The sequence below is a fragment of the Homo sapiens genome, chromosome 10 (assembly GCF_000001405.40).
Source record: "Homo sapiens chromosome 10, GRCh38.p14 Primary Assembly".
Classification (NCBI taxonomy): Eukaryota; Metazoa; Chordata; class Mammalia; order Primates; family Hominidae; genus Homo; species Homo sapiens.
The window spans coordinates 69,930,363-69,947,632 of record NC_000010.11 but is presented as its reverse complement, the minus strand read 5'-3'; the positions used below and the strand labels follow the sequence as shown (position 1 = coordinate 69,947,632).

The 17,270-nt window shown below is 52.4% G+C and overlaps 1 protein-coding gene across 42 annotated transcripts in view, besides 1 other annotated feature; it reads right to left on the bottom strand.

The window, feature by feature from the left end:
* The window catches only part of COL13A1 (collagen type XIII alpha 1 chain), a 157,239-nt gene that overhangs the window by 11,512 nt on the left and 128,457 nt on the right, over positions 1-17,270 (bottom strand). For 12 of the 42 annotated variants that reach the window (XM_047424600.1, NM_001368882.1, XM_011539294.4 and 9 more), the window contains 9 exons: positions 17,081-17,233; positions 15,029-15,073; positions 12,242-12,283; positions 10,851-10,877; positions 9,918-9,998; positions 6,610-6,645; positions 3,455-3,508; positions 1,909-1,962; positions 291-326 (listed from right to left, as the gene is read on the bottom strand). In XM_047424600.1, the coding sequence (XP_047280556.1) occupies positions 291-326; positions 1,909-1,962; positions 3,455-3,508; positions 6,610-6,645; positions 9,918-9,998; positions 10,851-10,877; positions 12,242-12,283; positions 15,029-15,073; positions 17,081-17,233 (528 nt within the window). The remainder of the gene's footprint in view (positions 1-290; positions 327-1,908; positions 1,963-3,454; positions 3,509-6,609; positions 6,646-9,917; positions 9,999-10,850; positions 10,878-12,241; positions 12,284-15,028; positions 15,074-17,080; positions 17,234-17,270) is intronic. The other 30 variants (NM_001368884.1, XM_047424613.1, XM_047424616.1 and 27 more) reach the window with 5 other exon arrangements.
* Positions 783-1,282: an enhancer, noted in NCBI's record as "H3K4me1 hESC enhancer chr10:71706107-71706606 (GRCh37/hg19 assembly coordinates)". NCBI's record gives its function as "activates a minimal SCP1, AML or CMV promoter by ChIP-STARR-seq in primed H9 embryonic stem cells {active_cell/tissue: H9 hESC(primed)}" and the evidence as "EXISTENCE:reporter gene assay evidence [ECO:0000049][PMID:30033119]".

The following is a 17,270-nucleotide window of genomic DNA, read 5'->3' as shown; positions in this document are numbered from 1 at the left end:
GAAAGAGCTGGACACATGGATCTTGTTGCTGGATAGCAATGCTAAGCTGGTGGCTGCCATGGGATTCAGTCTCTCCTTGCTGTGTGGAAAAATACAGGCTTCCATGTGAGGATCAGGCCCCAGGCTCCCTACATGCCACAGGTTAAGGCCCTCCTTGTAAAGCCTTTCAATTTAGGATGACTTATCAGGAAAAACTGTTCGCCATGTTGGTCAGGAATCACCGATCGATCATTCCACCCCATCATGAAGACATTAGTAACTAGAGCACGAGTGCAGGGGCTCAGACTCACCCGGTTTCCCTTGTCCCCGGGTGGTCCATGTAAACCCTGCAAGAGATCAGAGGAAGAAAGGCATGTTAATGAGGACACACAGGCCAGCTGTACAGTGCTTTCTTCCAGGCTCATCAAACTCTCCCAATGCCTCACTCACTGGAGACAGGTTTAGTTATTCCCACTACACGGAAAGGGGACAGAGAAGCAAATCGCTAAGAAAACCTGACCTAGAGGCAAATGATGAGTTCTGGGCAAAGCCAAGAACACACTTCAGGCTGGGCACGGTGGCTCACGCCTGTAATCCCAGCACTTTGGGAGGCCGAGGTGGGCGGATCACGAGGTCCAGAGATCGAAACCATCCTGGCCAACGAGGTGAAAGCCCGTCTCTATGAAAAATACAAAAATATCAGCTGGCCGTGGTGGTGGGCACCTGTAGTCTGAGCTACGCTGGAGGCTGAGGCAGGAGAATCGCTTGAACCTGGGAGGCTGAGGTTGCAGTGAGCCGAGATCATGCCACTGCACTCCAGCCTGGCGACAGAGTGAGACTCCGTCTCAAAACAAAAAACAAAAAACAAAAAAACACAGTTCTGGTTTTCTCACCTCTCCAGCCCAGGTCCTGGCCTGTGGCTGGGTTTTCCCGAGGTCACTACCGCAGGTGAGGGGTCAGTTCTGAGGATGCGCTTGTGGGGGCCAGGAATGCTCTAGGCAGAGGGGAGTTCCCAAGGCTCTCCTGCCAGGCTCTTGCTAGACCCTCTTTTCAAGGTGCAAAATGCTCTTCATTCTACAGCTAGGGGAATTTAGCATGAGACAAGCCTGGCCCAGATGTGCGTACCTGGCCAACACACACAGCCTCCAGTGGATGGGAAACTAAAGTGCGGGCTCTCTCAGGCAGACACTCAACTTCTGTAACACAGTGGTGGGAAAGCATGCCGTGATGGAAAGCCAGGTGTCCCCTGCAAGGCCCAGCTGCTCCGCTCATGAAGCCTCTCCTATCACAGGGGTCTGGATTTGATTCTGCCCCTTCTGAGGGCAGGGGCCATGGCGCACACATTGCTGAGGGCAGGCTGCACTTAACACAGTGGGAGGGGCTACATCCCATTACAGGGTCCCCATGGCAGAGGCCCTGGTCCTCTCACAGCGCAATGCCCAGCAGGGCATGCTAGCCTATCACCAGTTGCCTCTTGGCAGCTTTGTCTGTCATGGAAATGAGAGTTCTCCCTTGGCCCTGGATTTGTGCTCCAGGCCCTAGGTGATTTTTTTTTTTTTTTTTGGTTTGTGTGTTCGTTTTTTTGAGATGGAGTCTCGCTCTGTCACCCAGGCTGGAGTGCAGTGGTGCGATCTCGGCTCACTGCAACCTCCACCTCCTGGGTTCAAGAGATTCTCCTGCCTCAGCCTCCCGAGTAGCTGGGATACAGGTGCGCACCACCACACGTGGCTAAGTTTTGTATTTTTAGTAAAGACGGGGTTTCACCGTGTTGGCCAGGATAGTCTTGATCTCCTGACCTCGTGATGCGCCCGCCTCGGCCTCCCAAAGTGCTGGGATTACAGGTGTGAGCCACCATGCCCGGCCGGCCGTGGGTATTTCTAATGGGGGCAGGGGTGGGAGGAGAGGAACCTCTGATCCCAAGAGACTCACAGGAAGCCCAGCTGCTCCCGTTGGTCCTGTCATCCCAGGGTCTCCTTTGCTGCCCTGAAATGGGAGAAAGAAATGCATGAATCCTGCCAGACACGGTAACAATCTTCCTTGCCATTTTCTACTTTGGTATGAAATACAGGAAACCTCTCCAGTCCCCTCAAGAGCCCTCCGGGAAGCAAGGGCTATGGGAAAGGTGGGGTGCTGCTGATGCGAACACTGCCTTGGGGAGGGGGCTCAGAAGCCCCCCTCACTCTCCCTCCAGCAGAGCCTATCCCCCAAGGCCTCCCAGAATGACCCGTGGTGTCCTGGGCCTGGCTGGCCTGAGGCTGAAACAGGGGCGAAGAAAGCAGGGCAGGAAGGCAGGGAAAGAGAAAGGGAAGAGAAAGAGAGCTTTGCTTTCTTCTCCAGAGCCTCAAGGGTCACCTCTCAGAGCAGCCTCCTGGTTTCCCCAAGCTGGTGGTCACGGAGAAGCTTGTGCCCTCTGCAGAAGCTCCTGCCCTCCCCACCTGAGACAGAGCCAGCAAGGTGGGCGGATGGGGAGTGCAGGGAGCTGCCCACACAGGCAGAGAACTCGACGGATGCCCACACAGGGACCTCCGAGCCCTGAGTGTGTAGAACCCAGGGGCTGGCTGGGAAGAGCTGATATAGAAAGACACAGCTCCCCTGCCTCCACTCAGCTGACACCCTCCACCCTCACCCTCGGACATGCCCATTCCAGCAGGACAGGCCAGGAACTGCAAGTCCTGTGACATGGCCAACGTCCATCGACAGCGACCGTGGGAGCCTGGCCTATGGCTCTGGCCTCCTGACTTCCTGCTGTCCTCGAGGAATTATCTAAACACCACCTGGCCCTCTGTTCCATGCAGTTTCCCTAAATCATTACAAAGTTTAGGCATGTCCAGTGACAATGGCGCCCAGGGCCTTGCCAAACTGAACCTGAGATGGACACAAGGTGGCCAGAAGCCAAAGTGGAGGAAGTTCTCCAATTCCTTTTTTTTTCTTTTCCTCTTTTTTCTTTTTCTTTTTCTTTCTTTCTTTCTTTTTCTTTTTCATTTTTTTTTTTATAGAGATAAGGTCTTGCTCTGTCTCCTAGGCTGGAGTGCAGTAATATAATAATGGTTCACTGCAGCCTCCACTTCCTGGGCTCAACTGATCCTCCTGCCTCAGCCTCCCAAGTAGCTAGGACTAGAGGTGTGCACCATCATGCCTGGCTAATTTTAAAAAAATTTTTTGTAGAGTCTGGGTTGCGCTATGTTGTCCAGGCTGGTCTCAGACTCCTGAGCTCAAGTGATCCTCCCAACCTGGCCTCCCAGAGTGTTGGGATTACAGGTATGAGCCAACGTGCCCGGCCTCTCCATCTCCTTGATCCCTCCAAGTCTTGTCAACTCATAGCTACACAACCAGCACCCCCTGTCCCAGGCTGCTGTGAGGATGACCAGGAGAAGAGATGGAAGAAGGAAGGCATGAGGGCTGAGACCCCTGGTGTTGGGTCCCAGGCATGCCTCTCCCTCCTGGCCGCCCAGGCCCCTGGCTCAGTGACACTCACCCTCTCGCCCTTTGGTCCCGCTGGGCCTGGAACTCCAATTGGTCCTGGAGTACCCTGGGAAGGGGAAAGAAAGCAGAGGTGAGGGTCCCCACACTCTGGGGAGCCCTGGGTGCCCCACCTGATGCCTAGAGATGAGCAAGGTCCAAGGCCCAGTTTTCAGAGTTGGCGAGGCCAGGCTCGTTCAGGGCAGTCATTCGACTGGGCCGTGATCCTCTTTGGGTTCAGGGGCTGTTGGGGAGAGAGCACCTCCCCATGCCTCAGAGCCAGATTTGTGGACTGAAACCCTTTTGCTTCACAACCAAGCTTGCCAAGGCTGAAAACAATGGGAGAATGGTTGCTTAGTTTTGCTCCCAGAAGCACTTGGGAGGGAGTGGACCCATCCCGGGGCAGGGGCCGGGGGCTGGCACCCTCTTTGCTTTGCAGCTCCACATGCAGCGGGAGGGTCTTCATGCCACAGAGATGGATGCGGATGCACACACAGGGGCAGACGAGAGAGGGTTGTTCAGCCAACACCCACCCCACCGGCCCACCGCAGACCCACAGCCCTGGCCTCAGTCTCTGGCCGGGGCCTTCTCGCCCCACTCACAGGCCTGCGGAACTGGCTGGATCGGGGGGTGAATTAGGGTGCCTCAATGTCTGCACCGACACCGGCCTGGCAGGGAGGCGTGTCATGAGCTCTGCTAGCCCGGGGCTGGGGGCGCTGGAGCCATTGGAGCTCACGGCTTAGACATGGAGCATCAGGGCTTGCTCTGGCCTCCTCCAACATCTTCCCACGTTCCCAGTTCACAGCCTGGCCAGACCAAGTCTCTAGTTCAGCGTCTCCTGTTGTTGGCCTCAGATGAGGACAGGAGGAGTTGACTTGGGCTGTGGACAGTTTCCTGTGCTCTGAATGTATCTGTGAATGGCGGGGCATGACTTACTTCACGTGAGACAAAGAGGGGAGTAAGATGTCCTCAGGGCCCCCCTTTGCAACCACAAGGAGGGAAGGAAGGCTGCAGGCATCCATAATAGCACAGCAGAAAGAAAAAGGAGGCTGGGCGCAGTGGCTCACGGCTGTAATCCCAGCACTTTGGGAGGCCGAGGCGGGTGGATCACCTGAGGTCAGGAGTTCAAGACCGGTCTGGCCAACATGGCGAAACCCCAACTCTACTAAAAATACAACATTTAGTCCGGCATGGTGGTGGGTGCCTGTAATCCCAGCTACTCGGGAGGCTGAGGCAGGAGAATCGCTTGAAACCCGGAGGTGGAGGTTGCAGTGAGCCAAGATTGCGCCACTGCACTCCAGCCTGGGTGACAGAGCGAGACTCTGTCTCAAAAACAATAAGGAGTCAGCTCGGGCCAGTGGTTGGGCACAGCGCCACGGAGTCATGTGGCTGGCCTTGCCTCGGAGGCCTACAAACTCCTGGGTATTGGAGAAGCTCCTTAGCCTTGCCGAGTGTCGGTTTCCCCGTCTGTACCACGTGTGTCTGCCTCCTTGACCGTGCCAGGTTTCCATGCATGAATGCGTAGCAAGCATTTGGTGCTGAGCCTGACGCGTAGGAAGTGCTCAATAAATGTTAATATTGGCAGGGAAGGCTTATTTTTTTTCCCCACATTTTCCCTTAAAGTTAGGATACTGATTTTATGAGGAAAATAAAGACTCAGTTCCTAAGGGACAGAGTGTATGAATTTGTACTGCTTCCCTCGGTCTAACATAAAAGGGAGAAGCCATTGAGAGGAAAGTCTTGGTTTCTCTGATTGCAACCACAGATCATCCCCGAGCCCTGCCCGCACCTGAGACAGGTTTGCTAGGTGGGGAAGGATGGAGAGGGAGGGACTGTGGCGAAGGAGCAAAGCCATAATAACTCCTGGAAGCCAGGGCATGCTCTCTGCATGTAAGGGTTTACAGTGTGAACTCCATCAGTGCAGGGAGGTGGGGGGCTCTGAAGAAGTCTGTCATCTTGGGCAAGCCATGTCATCTCCTATTTATGAGGGCACAGAATAGGCATTCAGTAGGATGGGGCTCTCACAGAGGTCTATCTTGACCCTCCTACCTCTAAAAGCTCTGGGCTTCTCTTGGTGCCGGTTGCAAGTGCCCCCGGCCACCTGGGAAGACCTGTGAGCCTGTGCTTCAGTGTGTCCCCTACGCTGCACACATGAACCCTGGCAAGGTCTCGCCTCCCCTGAGGGTGGCTCCAGCCAGCTAACTAGAACTCCATGCAGGCCATGGGCAGATGTGGCCTTGAAAGCCCTCTGCAGGACAGAGCAGGGCCTCCCTGGCTGGAAGGGGCTGGGTGCACAGAGCTCTCGTGATGGTGTCCGAGCAGGGACTCGAGACTTGAGGGCGAGTGAGCTCAATACCCTGGGAAGGTTGACCTCAGAGGGCGCTCACGGGAGGGACCGGAGGTGGACAGGAGGGAATTTTCCTCTGATCCTTCAGTTGTTAGTCATAAGCAGAAGGGCCAGGTGCTTTCTAGTCAATAGTAAATGATGCCTGTTTTCTGGAATCAGAAAGAATGGAGGAAGAGAGGACCCAAGTGTGCCTCACTTGCTCTGTAGTGAACTGCCATGTTGGGTTGCAGGGCGACTGTGCTGTCATAGGCAGTGCAAGGGTGGTTAGAACGTGCATAAGACACAGAGCTGGGACTGGCTTCTATGCTTCTGCAGGCTACTCCTGTCCTCAGCCTTCAAAGCTGTCCTACCCCACATATACCAGACTGGTGGCTGCACAAGACTAGGAGGCCCTCGTGGGAAGACAGGAGATGGACAGAGCTCACAGCATGAAGACAACACAGCATGACGGGCACACACAGACACTGGTGTGTTTGGTGGGGAGAGGCCATGGCTCAAACCTCCAGGGCTGGGCACCCAGGCTGGACTCAGCATTCCTGTGGAATCAGGAGCGGTGCTGCTGGAGTGGCCTCCCACCCCACACCTGGCAGGTTTGAGGTCCCTGGGTGTATTCTGTGGACAGGGGCATTCAGATGAAGGCCAGCCATATTTGGTCAAGAGGCCAGAAAAGGCACTTCAGAGCATCAGTGGCACCTTTCTGGTGTCGGAGGTGGGACCAGGCATGATTCACTGGGAAAATGAGGCCACAGTGGGACAGACAAAAGGGATCACAGGCCAGGTGTGGAGTGGAGTGGGGTGAGGGGTGATGGAGAAGTGACACTCACCGGTGGCCCAGGCCTGCCGTCCAAACCTGAAGCTCCCTGGACGAAGGGCACAGTTTGACCAAAAGAAGGGGAAGAGAGGATTGGGAGGGAGAAAAAGGGAACAATGGGGAGGGAAGAGGTGAGTAAAGCAGTGACTCTGGACAGACATAAATGCTGGTAATCAAACACAACTGGAGAAATAAGCTTGGGAGGACACGGAATGGTATTTACATGGAAACCAACGAAAACATGGAGACACTGAATGCAGTGGCTGGCTGCTGAGCAGGCTGGGTGGAGGTCGGCGCAGATGGCCACCTGCTCCTCCCGCCCCCCTTCTCCTCTCTCCCTTTATTCCCTCTCAGAAACCCCTCTCCCTTCAGTGTTATGGGGAAAGGGATACAGAAAGGAATGCTTAGAGAGATGTCTTGGAATCAGAGCTGTGCACCCTTCCCAGGACAGGTTTCACTGGGGAGGGGCCCCAGGTGAGGACGGCTCTCCCAGCCTCTTTGCATTCCTGTTTGGATCAGGCCATGCTGGGGTGCCCCTGAGGGTCTCAGCCCTGGGTGACAGCACCCAGTTGTGAAATCTGGGTAGGAGTTGTTCTGCTTATCCTTCACCCTGGGGGAATGAGTTGGCTCTTAGATGATATTACAAATGATGCCTGACATTTCGCTGGCACTTTACAGTCTGAGATGCTCAACCTAAACTCGATCCATTCATATGCTCCCAGACAAGGGCTCTTGTGTAGGCAAAGGCTTTGGAGGCAGCGGCCTGGGACAGAGGTCTAAGGCCATGTATTTCCCAGAGCAAATGGGCAGCAGGTGGGAAGCTACTGAGACCAACCTGCTATCAGCACCCTTACTTGCTCTTGTCCAGTGAAATACAAGGTTGGTGGGTCGGGGGTGGGGTGGCACTCCTGTTCCAACCCTGGGTTATGAAGCTGCCTCTGAAACCCACCCAGGAAAACCCAGGGACCCTTTTCTAATGATTCCAATGTGACAAGTCAGGGAGAAGGCAGCGGCAATACTCTGGCCTGGTAAGGACTGAGTGCTTGAAAACTGCTTCCAACTGAGCCTCAGCCTCAGAATTTCAAATGAAAAGGAAGTCCCAAGAAGGAGGCAACGAGCTGCTGCTTCATGGAAAAGGTGTTGGGTAGAAGGACTCTGCAGGGACTCTTCTCAGATTTAGGACCACACGATTCTGGGACCGACCTTGACTCACTGGGCTAGAGAGCTGTGGTTCTCAGCCCTGGCAGCACATTAGAATCTCTTGGGGGCAATGTTAAATAAAACAGATGCCTGGGTCCCACCCCATCCCAGCCCGATGCAATTCAAAATCTCCAAGAGTGAAGCCCGGGGTGATGGTGAGTTTGAAAAGCTCTCAGGGGATTCCAGTGTGCAGCCAGCATTGAGAATTGCTTCTGCAGGGCAAATGGGGGAACACTCCAGGATATGCCTGGAGAAGCAGGCTGCTACTACATAGAATAAAACATCCAGGTGAAACCTGGAAACAGAATGGTAGCTAAATATCCATGTACTTTAAAAAAATGCAGCATTAAAACTCAGTTGTCTTGAGAGGTCTGGAGCAGAAAGCACAAATTAGAGGCTTTCAGGCCATATGTGGGCCACTGACATATTTTTTATGGTCTGCAGTGTTGCAAATAATTTTGATCTAATATTAGAAAATGGAAAGATTTCACATAAAACACCAGATGTTTAACTTCCTTTGAAAAATAGGAAGATCCAGAAATACCAGCTCCGCCTTCCTCCAAGGCAACAGTCAGCTGAGCTGAGAAGGGACGGTTCCCCTTAAGAAGGGATACACGGTCTCTAGTGCACCACAGTCCCCTCCACTCCCTAGTGTCTCCCTCAGGTTTGTGTCAGTTGTCTCATATGAATGCTTGTTCTGTTGTTTACTTAAACTAAAAAAAAATACTTCTCTGTACCCATGCCTCTATCAAAAGTGAGAAAATTAATGATAGAGTAGGTACTTTGTCTTTCATCTGGCACTTTCCTTGTTTATATTAATATTACCTGTTTGGTCGCTGTGCCTTTTGCATTTCAACCCCTGACTGAATTCTCGAGTGTTCATCAAGGTCGTTGGGGCCATGAATGTGGATAAGAAGAGGTTTGTGGTTGAGTGGGGCAGGAAGGCTCTTTAATAGTAAGGAGCACTTAATCATTCCAGACACAGCTTAAGACATGGGAAAATGCCTGCTAAAGTCATCAGTTTTCTGTAGTCTGTCAAGCAGATTGGCTTCTTAAATATTCCTACCTCGAATGCATTCATGAGGGTATAATTATACCTCCTGCATTTGCTGTTTGGTTGCTGTGATTGTATTAACCAGGCCTTCAAGCTCTGCCAAGCGGGGGTAACTGGGCTTTCCATTGTTTCTCTGCTCTTTATGGCTACCTGGGGTGGGAACTGGCCTTGAGCCCAGGACAGAGGAAGCCTGAGTGGCTGGAAGGAGTCGCTTTGCAAGGCCATGGCCTCAGATCAGCCTCTGGCTTGGCCACCAACTTTGTATGTGACCTCCAGTGACCCACTTTCTTCTCTGGGACCATCAGTGAAATGATGGGATGGATCGCTAACATCCCTTCCAGCTCTTGGAAGAATGCCAACCTCAGTGGAGGGTTAGGGGGCATGGAGCCCGGGCTCCAGGGAGGGTGGTGGGATGCGCTCACCTGTACACAGGTGAGGCAGTGAAGAGGCCATCAGCCCTATCCAGCCCAGCCCCATATCATGACATGTGAACACCTTCTGAGCAGCTCCCCACCTCTGACCTGGGGCTTCTGGCTCTGGGCAGGCTGAGATCAGAGATCTCCACGAACCCAGGAGATGAACGGCCTTGGCCTGCTGGGACCACAAAGTCTGACTTTGTCTGTGCCTTTCTGCAATGACCAGTGCTTAAGAGGGGGGAGCAAGAGTTCTCTTGGGGTCCCTCTGGGAAAATGGACTGTAATGGAGACTATCTTCTTGTCCCACTACTTCCAAACCCTCCAAGCTTGGCCCCGTAAAGGCAGCAGGCTTTGATTGCTTCTGAACCAGGCTCAAGCAGGGCCTGAAGCTGCCCTCCCAGCTCAGTGCCCCTTGGGGTGGGGGAGCCTGTCTTCTTCAGCATTGCCTTTCCCCAGCACCAAGGTGGGGCCTGGGCCCAGAGGAGGAAGAGAATCAGAGCCTGTGGTCTTGCCCAGGTGGGAAAGACAAACCACATGGAACTCTGGATGCTCAGACTCTAGAACCTTAGCTTTCCGCTGGCTGTCCCCCAGTCCCAGCCCACACCCCTGGCCCATCAAACCCACCAGTCTTGCTGGGTCCAAGGTACTTACGGGTAGTCCCAGGGGACCACGGTCTCCTTTTTCTCCCTGGAAGCCTTTCTCTCCTTTTGCTCCATCTAGTCCTGCTTCCCCCTGGAGGAAAGGGAGAGGGGACGAGATCACACAAGGACATGTCCCAGACAATTCATTCTTGCATTCTGGGGTCCTGGAGGCTGGGGTGGCATTTGTAGAGGAAGGAGGGGTCAGGGTGGCAGGCTGAGGATACCAAGAATCCCTGAATTCTTAGCCTACTCTCGCCTCAGTTAGTAGCCCCTGTATCCTGTGGGAGCTTTGAGAGCCCCACAGAGAAAAGGACTAGGTGGCCTGGGGACAAACCCACAGGTCAGGCCTTGGCACAGGTGCCCAACTGCATGGCAGGAGAATGGGAACCTTACAGAGATTTGCTCAGATGCCTGAGATGCTACCTCCAGAGCCCTGAGGCTCACAGCCTAGTCGGGAGAACAAACTGCCCCGAAGTCTCTTGAATACCAGGGCATGAGGAAAGGGCCATTGTCACATCAACAGCCCCCAGCCCCCTCATCCATTTGAAATGGTTCAGGGGAGGCCGGGAGAGCCCAGTGCAGAGTCCCCCCAAGCTTGACCCAGGGAGGGGTCCCACCCTATGTTGCTGTCTCTCTCCCACCTCTACTCGGCATGAGTGAAGGGGCCAGGGCAGGTTTGATGGGAAAAGGATTTTAACCATTGGCTAAGAATCTAACCTGTCCCTTTGTGGGGTGACAGATGGGAAGCTTCTGAAGCCAAAGCACACCAGGTGTCAATGATGGATGCTAAAGGGAATCTAGGACTTCCTCCTGCCCTGACTGGACCCCCTTGGCTGGAGTGTCACCTAATGCCTTCTAGGAAAAAGGGTCAGCTGGTCTCAGGTGCACTTTCCCTCTTTTCTACTAGCACTGACACAGCGCCTGTCATGTGACTTCTCCTTACCTTTGGTCCAGGAACACCTTGGAGCCCCTGCATTTGGAATAAAGCAAGGTGCATTAGAACTGCATCTCTAGTTAACACAACTGCCTAGTCCACAAATGGATCACAGAAGAACAAGGGTTTTGGGTGCAGAGTATGGTTTGGGGTCCCTGCCCATGAGAGGTAGAAAGAAATGCTAAGTGGGGGTCATGCTTGGGGCTTCCTAGGGAATAGTCTGAGCCAGTCTTTTCCAGCCAGGGCTCACAGAAAATCTCTCTGTGGTCCTCATGGTTGACCCAGAGTCTCATGAAAGAAAGACACGGAGGTAACACAGCAAACATTAAATTAATACAGGCAAAGTGCTTGGAACAGTGTCTAGCATCCAATAAGTTTCAATAAACGCTGGCTCCTATCATTATTCCTACTGCTACTTCTACCATCCACAACAGAGGACACACAGTGCCTTGGGGACCATGAACCACACAGAGGCATGGGCCAGCATCTGTTGCTTCAGGGTGCTTGGGGGCCCTCTAGGGGTGATGCACAGGGGCCCCATGGTTACATTTCTGTAGCCAAGGAAAGCCAATCCAGTGGGGCTGGGGCTCGCCCTTCCTTCCTTCCTTTCCTTTCCTTCCTTCCTTCCTTCCTTCCTTCCTTCCTTCCTTCCTTCCTTCCTTCTTTCCTTCCTTCCTTCCTTCCTTCCTCCCTTCCCTCCTTCCCTCCCTCCCTCCCTCCCTTCCCTCACTCCCTCCCTCCCTCCCTCCTCCCTCTCTTTCTCTCTTTTTCTTTTTTTTTGAGACAGGGTCTCACTCTGGTTGCCCAGGTTGGAGTGCAGTGGTGCCATCTTGGCTCACTGCAGCCTCGATCTCTGGGGCCCAGGTGATTCTCCCACCTTAGCCTCTTGAGTAGCTGGGATTACAGATGTGTGCCACCACGCCCAGCTAATTTTTTGTATTTTTAGAAGAGACAGGGTTTCATTATGTTGCCCAGGCTGGTCTCAAACTTCCGGACTCAAGCGATCCACCTGCCTCAGCCTCCCAGAGTGCCAGATTGGTATCACGGGCGTGAGCCACTGTGCCAGACCGGTGAGTCACTTTCAAATGAGGAATGGGAGAAGCAGATGTTTGATGGCAAAGGGTGAGGTAAATGTTGGGCAGAGCTTAGAGACAAGGGACCCTGGGGCTGCCCTACCAGTCAGCTATTTCCAGGAAACCAGGCAATGCCTGGGCTCCTTGGTGTCCCCAGTATGGTGCTGTTTAACATGGGAGGGAAAAGGAGCGGGGAGGGGTTTGTAGACCAGAAAATCCCTCCCTGGGAGGAAGAGGTGATAGTGACTAAGGCTGAGGTTGAGCCCAGTGACTGCTGTGGAGAGGGGACATTAGTGGACTGGCCACTGACAAGCCCTCCAAACTTACCGGAGGTCCGGGAGGCCCCTCTGGCCCTGGCAGCCCAGGAACCTAAAAGCCAAAGGGGAGCCCTGTTACATTTGAAGTGGCCCTCCCTCCTGATAGGGCCTAGAGCCCAGCTGGAGACTGCAAGGCCAGAGGAGGACATGGCTGCCCACTGGAGGTCAGCCAGTGACTGCCCAGCACAGTATCCCCCAAAAAAGGCTCAGAACAGGTCAAAAACTCATAGCAACCCGGTGGACTGCTCAATGTTGAAAAAGCAAATTTCCAGGAACTGTCCCTAAAGATCTATTCTTCCAGATTTTTCTTGGAAAAAAAAAAACAAAAAAAACACCAGAAGATCTAGCAGCACTAGGTTCTTGTTCATGCATGGCAACAACAGCCTGGAGTGGAATTAGAGCTTTCCCCTCTAGGTGGGGCATGACACCTTCAGTTTACCCCAGTCCTCACCACTCCTTATTGTCTTTGATCCAGCGCTCTTGCAGTCACTTTTTGCAGGCCTGACCCTTGTAGACATTTGAGTTTGAGACCCTTGGCTTAGAGAAGCAGAGATTGGTTATCTGGAATGTGGGGAGACTGAGCTGTTCCTGGAGATTGCTCCTCAAGTCCCCAAGGTTTGTTACAGACAGGATGGGGACTGCTGGTCTCTGTTTCCCTTGAGAGCAGATGCAGATTGTGCTAGAGGAGATTCTGACTGGACAGTGAAGATGGAGGAGCTCAGGGCTGCCTCCTCTACAGAGGGTGGTGCCCATTGCAGCTTCTGTCTCTGATGAACACACACATCCTTTCATCCACAGGCAGCCACTGCTGGGTCCTTCTGAGCTGCTCACCCCGCCTCGGCTTCAGGGCTCTCCTCAGGTGCCTCGTCTTCCCAGGGGTAGAATTCCCTGGAGCATGGCCAGGGGAGTGACTCCTGTGCCAGGCCACGACAGAGGGCACCCCTACACTGGGCAGACAGGAGGTCCCTATTGTTTCCTGGACCTGTGGACTTTGTCGCTCCATCACAGTCTCCTTGGAGGGAACACAGTCTTTGGAAACTCTGCCTTCTTAAAAAAAGCTTCCCATTTTTAACAAAAGTTTACCATTTTAATTCTTATTATAAGTAAGTGGTTTATGTATCCTAATCATGGTATTGGTTATACAAATCTCTACATGCATTAACATTCACAGAACTGGACACATTCCAGAAGAAGTCAATTTTACCTGGGTGGTAATTTTAAAAATAATAAAAAGAATAAAAAGAATTTTTAAAATTTTCTTTAAAGAGAAAATTTAAACATTTTCTTGATGTATCAGATGTGCTTGAATATATGTATATACTTTTGATATTTACATATAATATGTGTAGAATTGTATATACATATATGTATATGCTTATGATTTCATATATGTATAAAATTTCGTTTTCAACTCTTTTTCACTTACTGTGAAACTGATGTTTCCATTTTTTATATGTTCGCCACCAGCTTCCTGGTAACGGTGCTGTGCTATTCACTGGGTGGAGTGAAAATGAGTTGTTACATACCCAGGGCTTAGTGCGGTGCTTGGCACGAGGGAAGTGCTCAGACGTGGTGACTATTATTACTATTAGTATTATTACTATAAGTTATTTAATCCTTTCCTTCTTGATAAAATTTAGAGTGTTTCTAATGTTTATTTTAAATACTTCTTGGAGGGACAATGTGCGTATAATGCTTTTCCTGAATTAGGATCATTTCTTTAGGAGGCTATCCATTTCGAAACAAGTACCATACACATTGTACAATCAGGCCTGTTTCACTACATTCAGACGGGGCTTGGCAAGGTGAACCCACCCTGATGGGGACTGAGAAGGCTTGGTGGTCTCTCCCATGGGTCTGAGGTGCTATTTGGGTTGCCCAGACCCCGCCACCAAACATCCTGTCTCTCACGCATCCTTGATCTCCGTTGCTTTCCGGGTTCTTGCCCCTGAGCCCGCAAATATGCCTGATTCTCTGCTGTCTTTTGAAAACCTTGCCTCCATCCTGACTATTCTCACTCAGCCATTCTGTTTTCTCTTCCTTTCACCACACTTCTCAAAAGAATAATGCCTCTATCTGGAAAGCCTACCTCTGAAACTTTGTGGCAAACTCCTACAAAGCCGTCAAGACTCTGCCCAAATAGAAAGTCTTTTGGGATGCTTGCCCGATTCCCTGAGTTGCTCCCATGCTAGTGCCCATTATGGGGTATTGTGAGCTGTGGAGGGATGGTTCTGTTTTTTTTTTTTTTTTTTTTTTTTTTTTTTTTGAGGCAGAGTCTCACTCTGTTGCCCAGGCTGGAGTGCAGTGGCACAATCCTGGCTCACTGTAACCTCTGCCTCCTGGGTTCACGTGATTCTCCTGCCTCAGCCTCCCGAATAGCTGGGATTATAGGCACCTGCCACCACTCCTGGCTAATTTTGTATTTTTAGTAGAGATGGGGTTTCACCATATTGGCCAGGCTGGTCTCAAACTCCCGACCTCAGGTGATCCGCCTGCCTCAGCCTCCCAAATTGCTAGGATTACAGGCGTGAGCCACCGTGCCCGGCAAGTTCTGTTTATTTTCGTATCTCCAGACTCTAGCACCAGGATGGAAGCATGGGAGGTGCTCTGTGAAGGTTGCTGAGAGATGTGGTTTGGGAAGACTGGAGCAGTCCAGAGGATCAGTGCCTGACCTATGGTGGTGCTCAGTAAACGTAAACATCAGGCAGTTGCAAGCTTCATTCTAAAGCACAGAAATACTGTGCATGCTGCAGAGACTGTCGCTTGATGAGTCTCTGTCAAATTATCTCTCATGTACCTCTGCTCCTGGATTGCCCTTCTCCCCGGCTTCTCCTTTCTCTCCCTGTGGGCACAAAACACCACTGCATGAATGCCAGCCCTTGTGAAAGCCTGGGACAGACGCACCCTCACATCTGTGACAAACTAGACTGGGACGTGACTGGTCTAGGGGTCAACAAGGAACACCATGGAGGATGTGGAGGTGTCAGCCTGCAGGACAGAATCTGAGGCTCTAGTACAGGGGAGGAGAGGCTGATACTCTCTGTGGACTCTGCAGCGTACAGGCCTTAGGGTGACCTGTGACTTGTTTCTTAGCCGTGGAGTAAGGCACATGGCAAAGGTGGTGGGACCTCACTTCTATGATTATGTTGCAGATTATAACATACATGTCATACAGATGGTGACATATAACATATATTAAGATTATGTTACAAATATGTTACATGAACACACAAACACACGTGCACACAGCTCTGTCTTGCTAGCACTAGACACTAGAGAGACCCTACTGCTGGCCTTGTCCTTGAAGATGCCAGTTGCTATAATGTGAACTGTCTACTCTGCGGGAGGTGGGGAGGGCAGGGGCGCAGGTGGCAGGAACTGTAGGTGGCCTCTAGGAGCTGAGTTCTGTTCCAGCAAGGAACTGGATTCTGCCAATACCAGTAGCTTGGAAGGGGATCCCTAGCTCCAGATGAGAATACAGTTGGCTGAGACATTAATTGCAGCCTCATGAGACCATGGGCAGAGGACCCAACTAGGATGTGCCTGAATTCCTGACCCACAGAAACTATGTGCCAATAAGTGTGTATTTTCTTAGGCCGCTACGTTTGCAGTGATTAGTTATGCAGCAATAGATAATAAATATGGCTCCAGAGGCCAGAGGCTCTGAGGGGTCAACTCGGGGAGGCTGACAAGGGAGCTTCCACACCATATCCAGGAATGCTCCCTCCATCCTGGGGCTGCCCCATGGTGCAGTGGACAGGTCTGGAGGCAGTGAGCTGCCTGCCTGTGCCGGTTGAGTGAGGAGTCCTGCACTGGGTCAGACTTGGGACTGGTTGACCTCTGAGGCTCTTTCCACTTCCTAGAGGAGAATTCTGAGACCAAGATTCTAGCACCGTCGAACTAGGTTGGTGCTCCTAGAGGCCATCATACCGTGAGCCAAGGAAGATGCAACTCCTGTTTACACTCAAATGAAGTAGCTGCTTGTTAAGAGGACCCTCCCTGCCTGCTCCCAGGCTGGGTCGGCAGGCTTGGGATTAGGGCAGCCTCGTCACAGTGTCAGGCACCCACTAGGCTGGTGGCCCCCAGGAGGACCCTCATCTGTGGCTGCCTGCAGGCAACCTTGACACCCAGCCCTCTGGCTTCACTGTAAACCTCAGGAGCCCAGCTGGATTAGGCAATCCTGCCACTCTGGGTCTGCTCTGGCCACCATGTTCTCCTCTCCCCAGTTGGGCCATCTAGACCCTACAGACTGACAATGATTTCTGTTAGTGGAGCTCAAGGTGGTCTTGCTGAGTGTGACCAACTGTGGCCTGCACAGGATGTGGCTCCCTTGCTCCAAGGGTAGGTGTCTAGGATGGCACCCATTTCACAGATGGAAACCCCTGAGACCCAGAGAAGGCCCCTAAGTCAAGTTAGCAGCCTAGTGGACTGGGCGAAGGCCCCGTTTCTGTACATGCAGCCTCTCCCGGGTATAGGGCTTCTGTACACTTTCCAAAGAGGCAGCTCTAAACCATGTCTTCATCTCTTTCCCAACAATCCAGTGAGGTATCCAGGGAAAACATTATTATCGCCAGTTTAGAGATGAGGAGACGGAGACTCTGCAACAGTGAGTGGCTTTCCCAAGGATACAGATGACAGAGCACAACTCAGGTCTCCTGAGTCGGGAAACTGGCCTTCATAAAGTGAGTGACTTGAGGGGAAGCTGAGTGAATCCTCCACCCCTAAGCCCTGGCCCCAGGTTTCTAGCCCAGGCAGCAGCTCACATCATGCAAAGTGCAAAGCCCTGCAAAGCTGGCGTCATGCTTGGGAGTGGTGTATGCACGGAAGGGCAGCCAGCCCTGCCACTCACCGGTGAGCCTGCTTGTCCTGTCTCCCCTTTTTCCCCCTTCTCTCCTGGGCTCCCTGGGTGCCCGTTTTCTCCCTTCACTCCTGGAGGTCCATCCTTTCCTGGGGGGCCTTGGGGACCAGGAGGGCCCATGTCTCCTGGTTTACCGCGAGGTCCCTTTAGAAAATACCAAAAACGCTTCTTAGACACATTA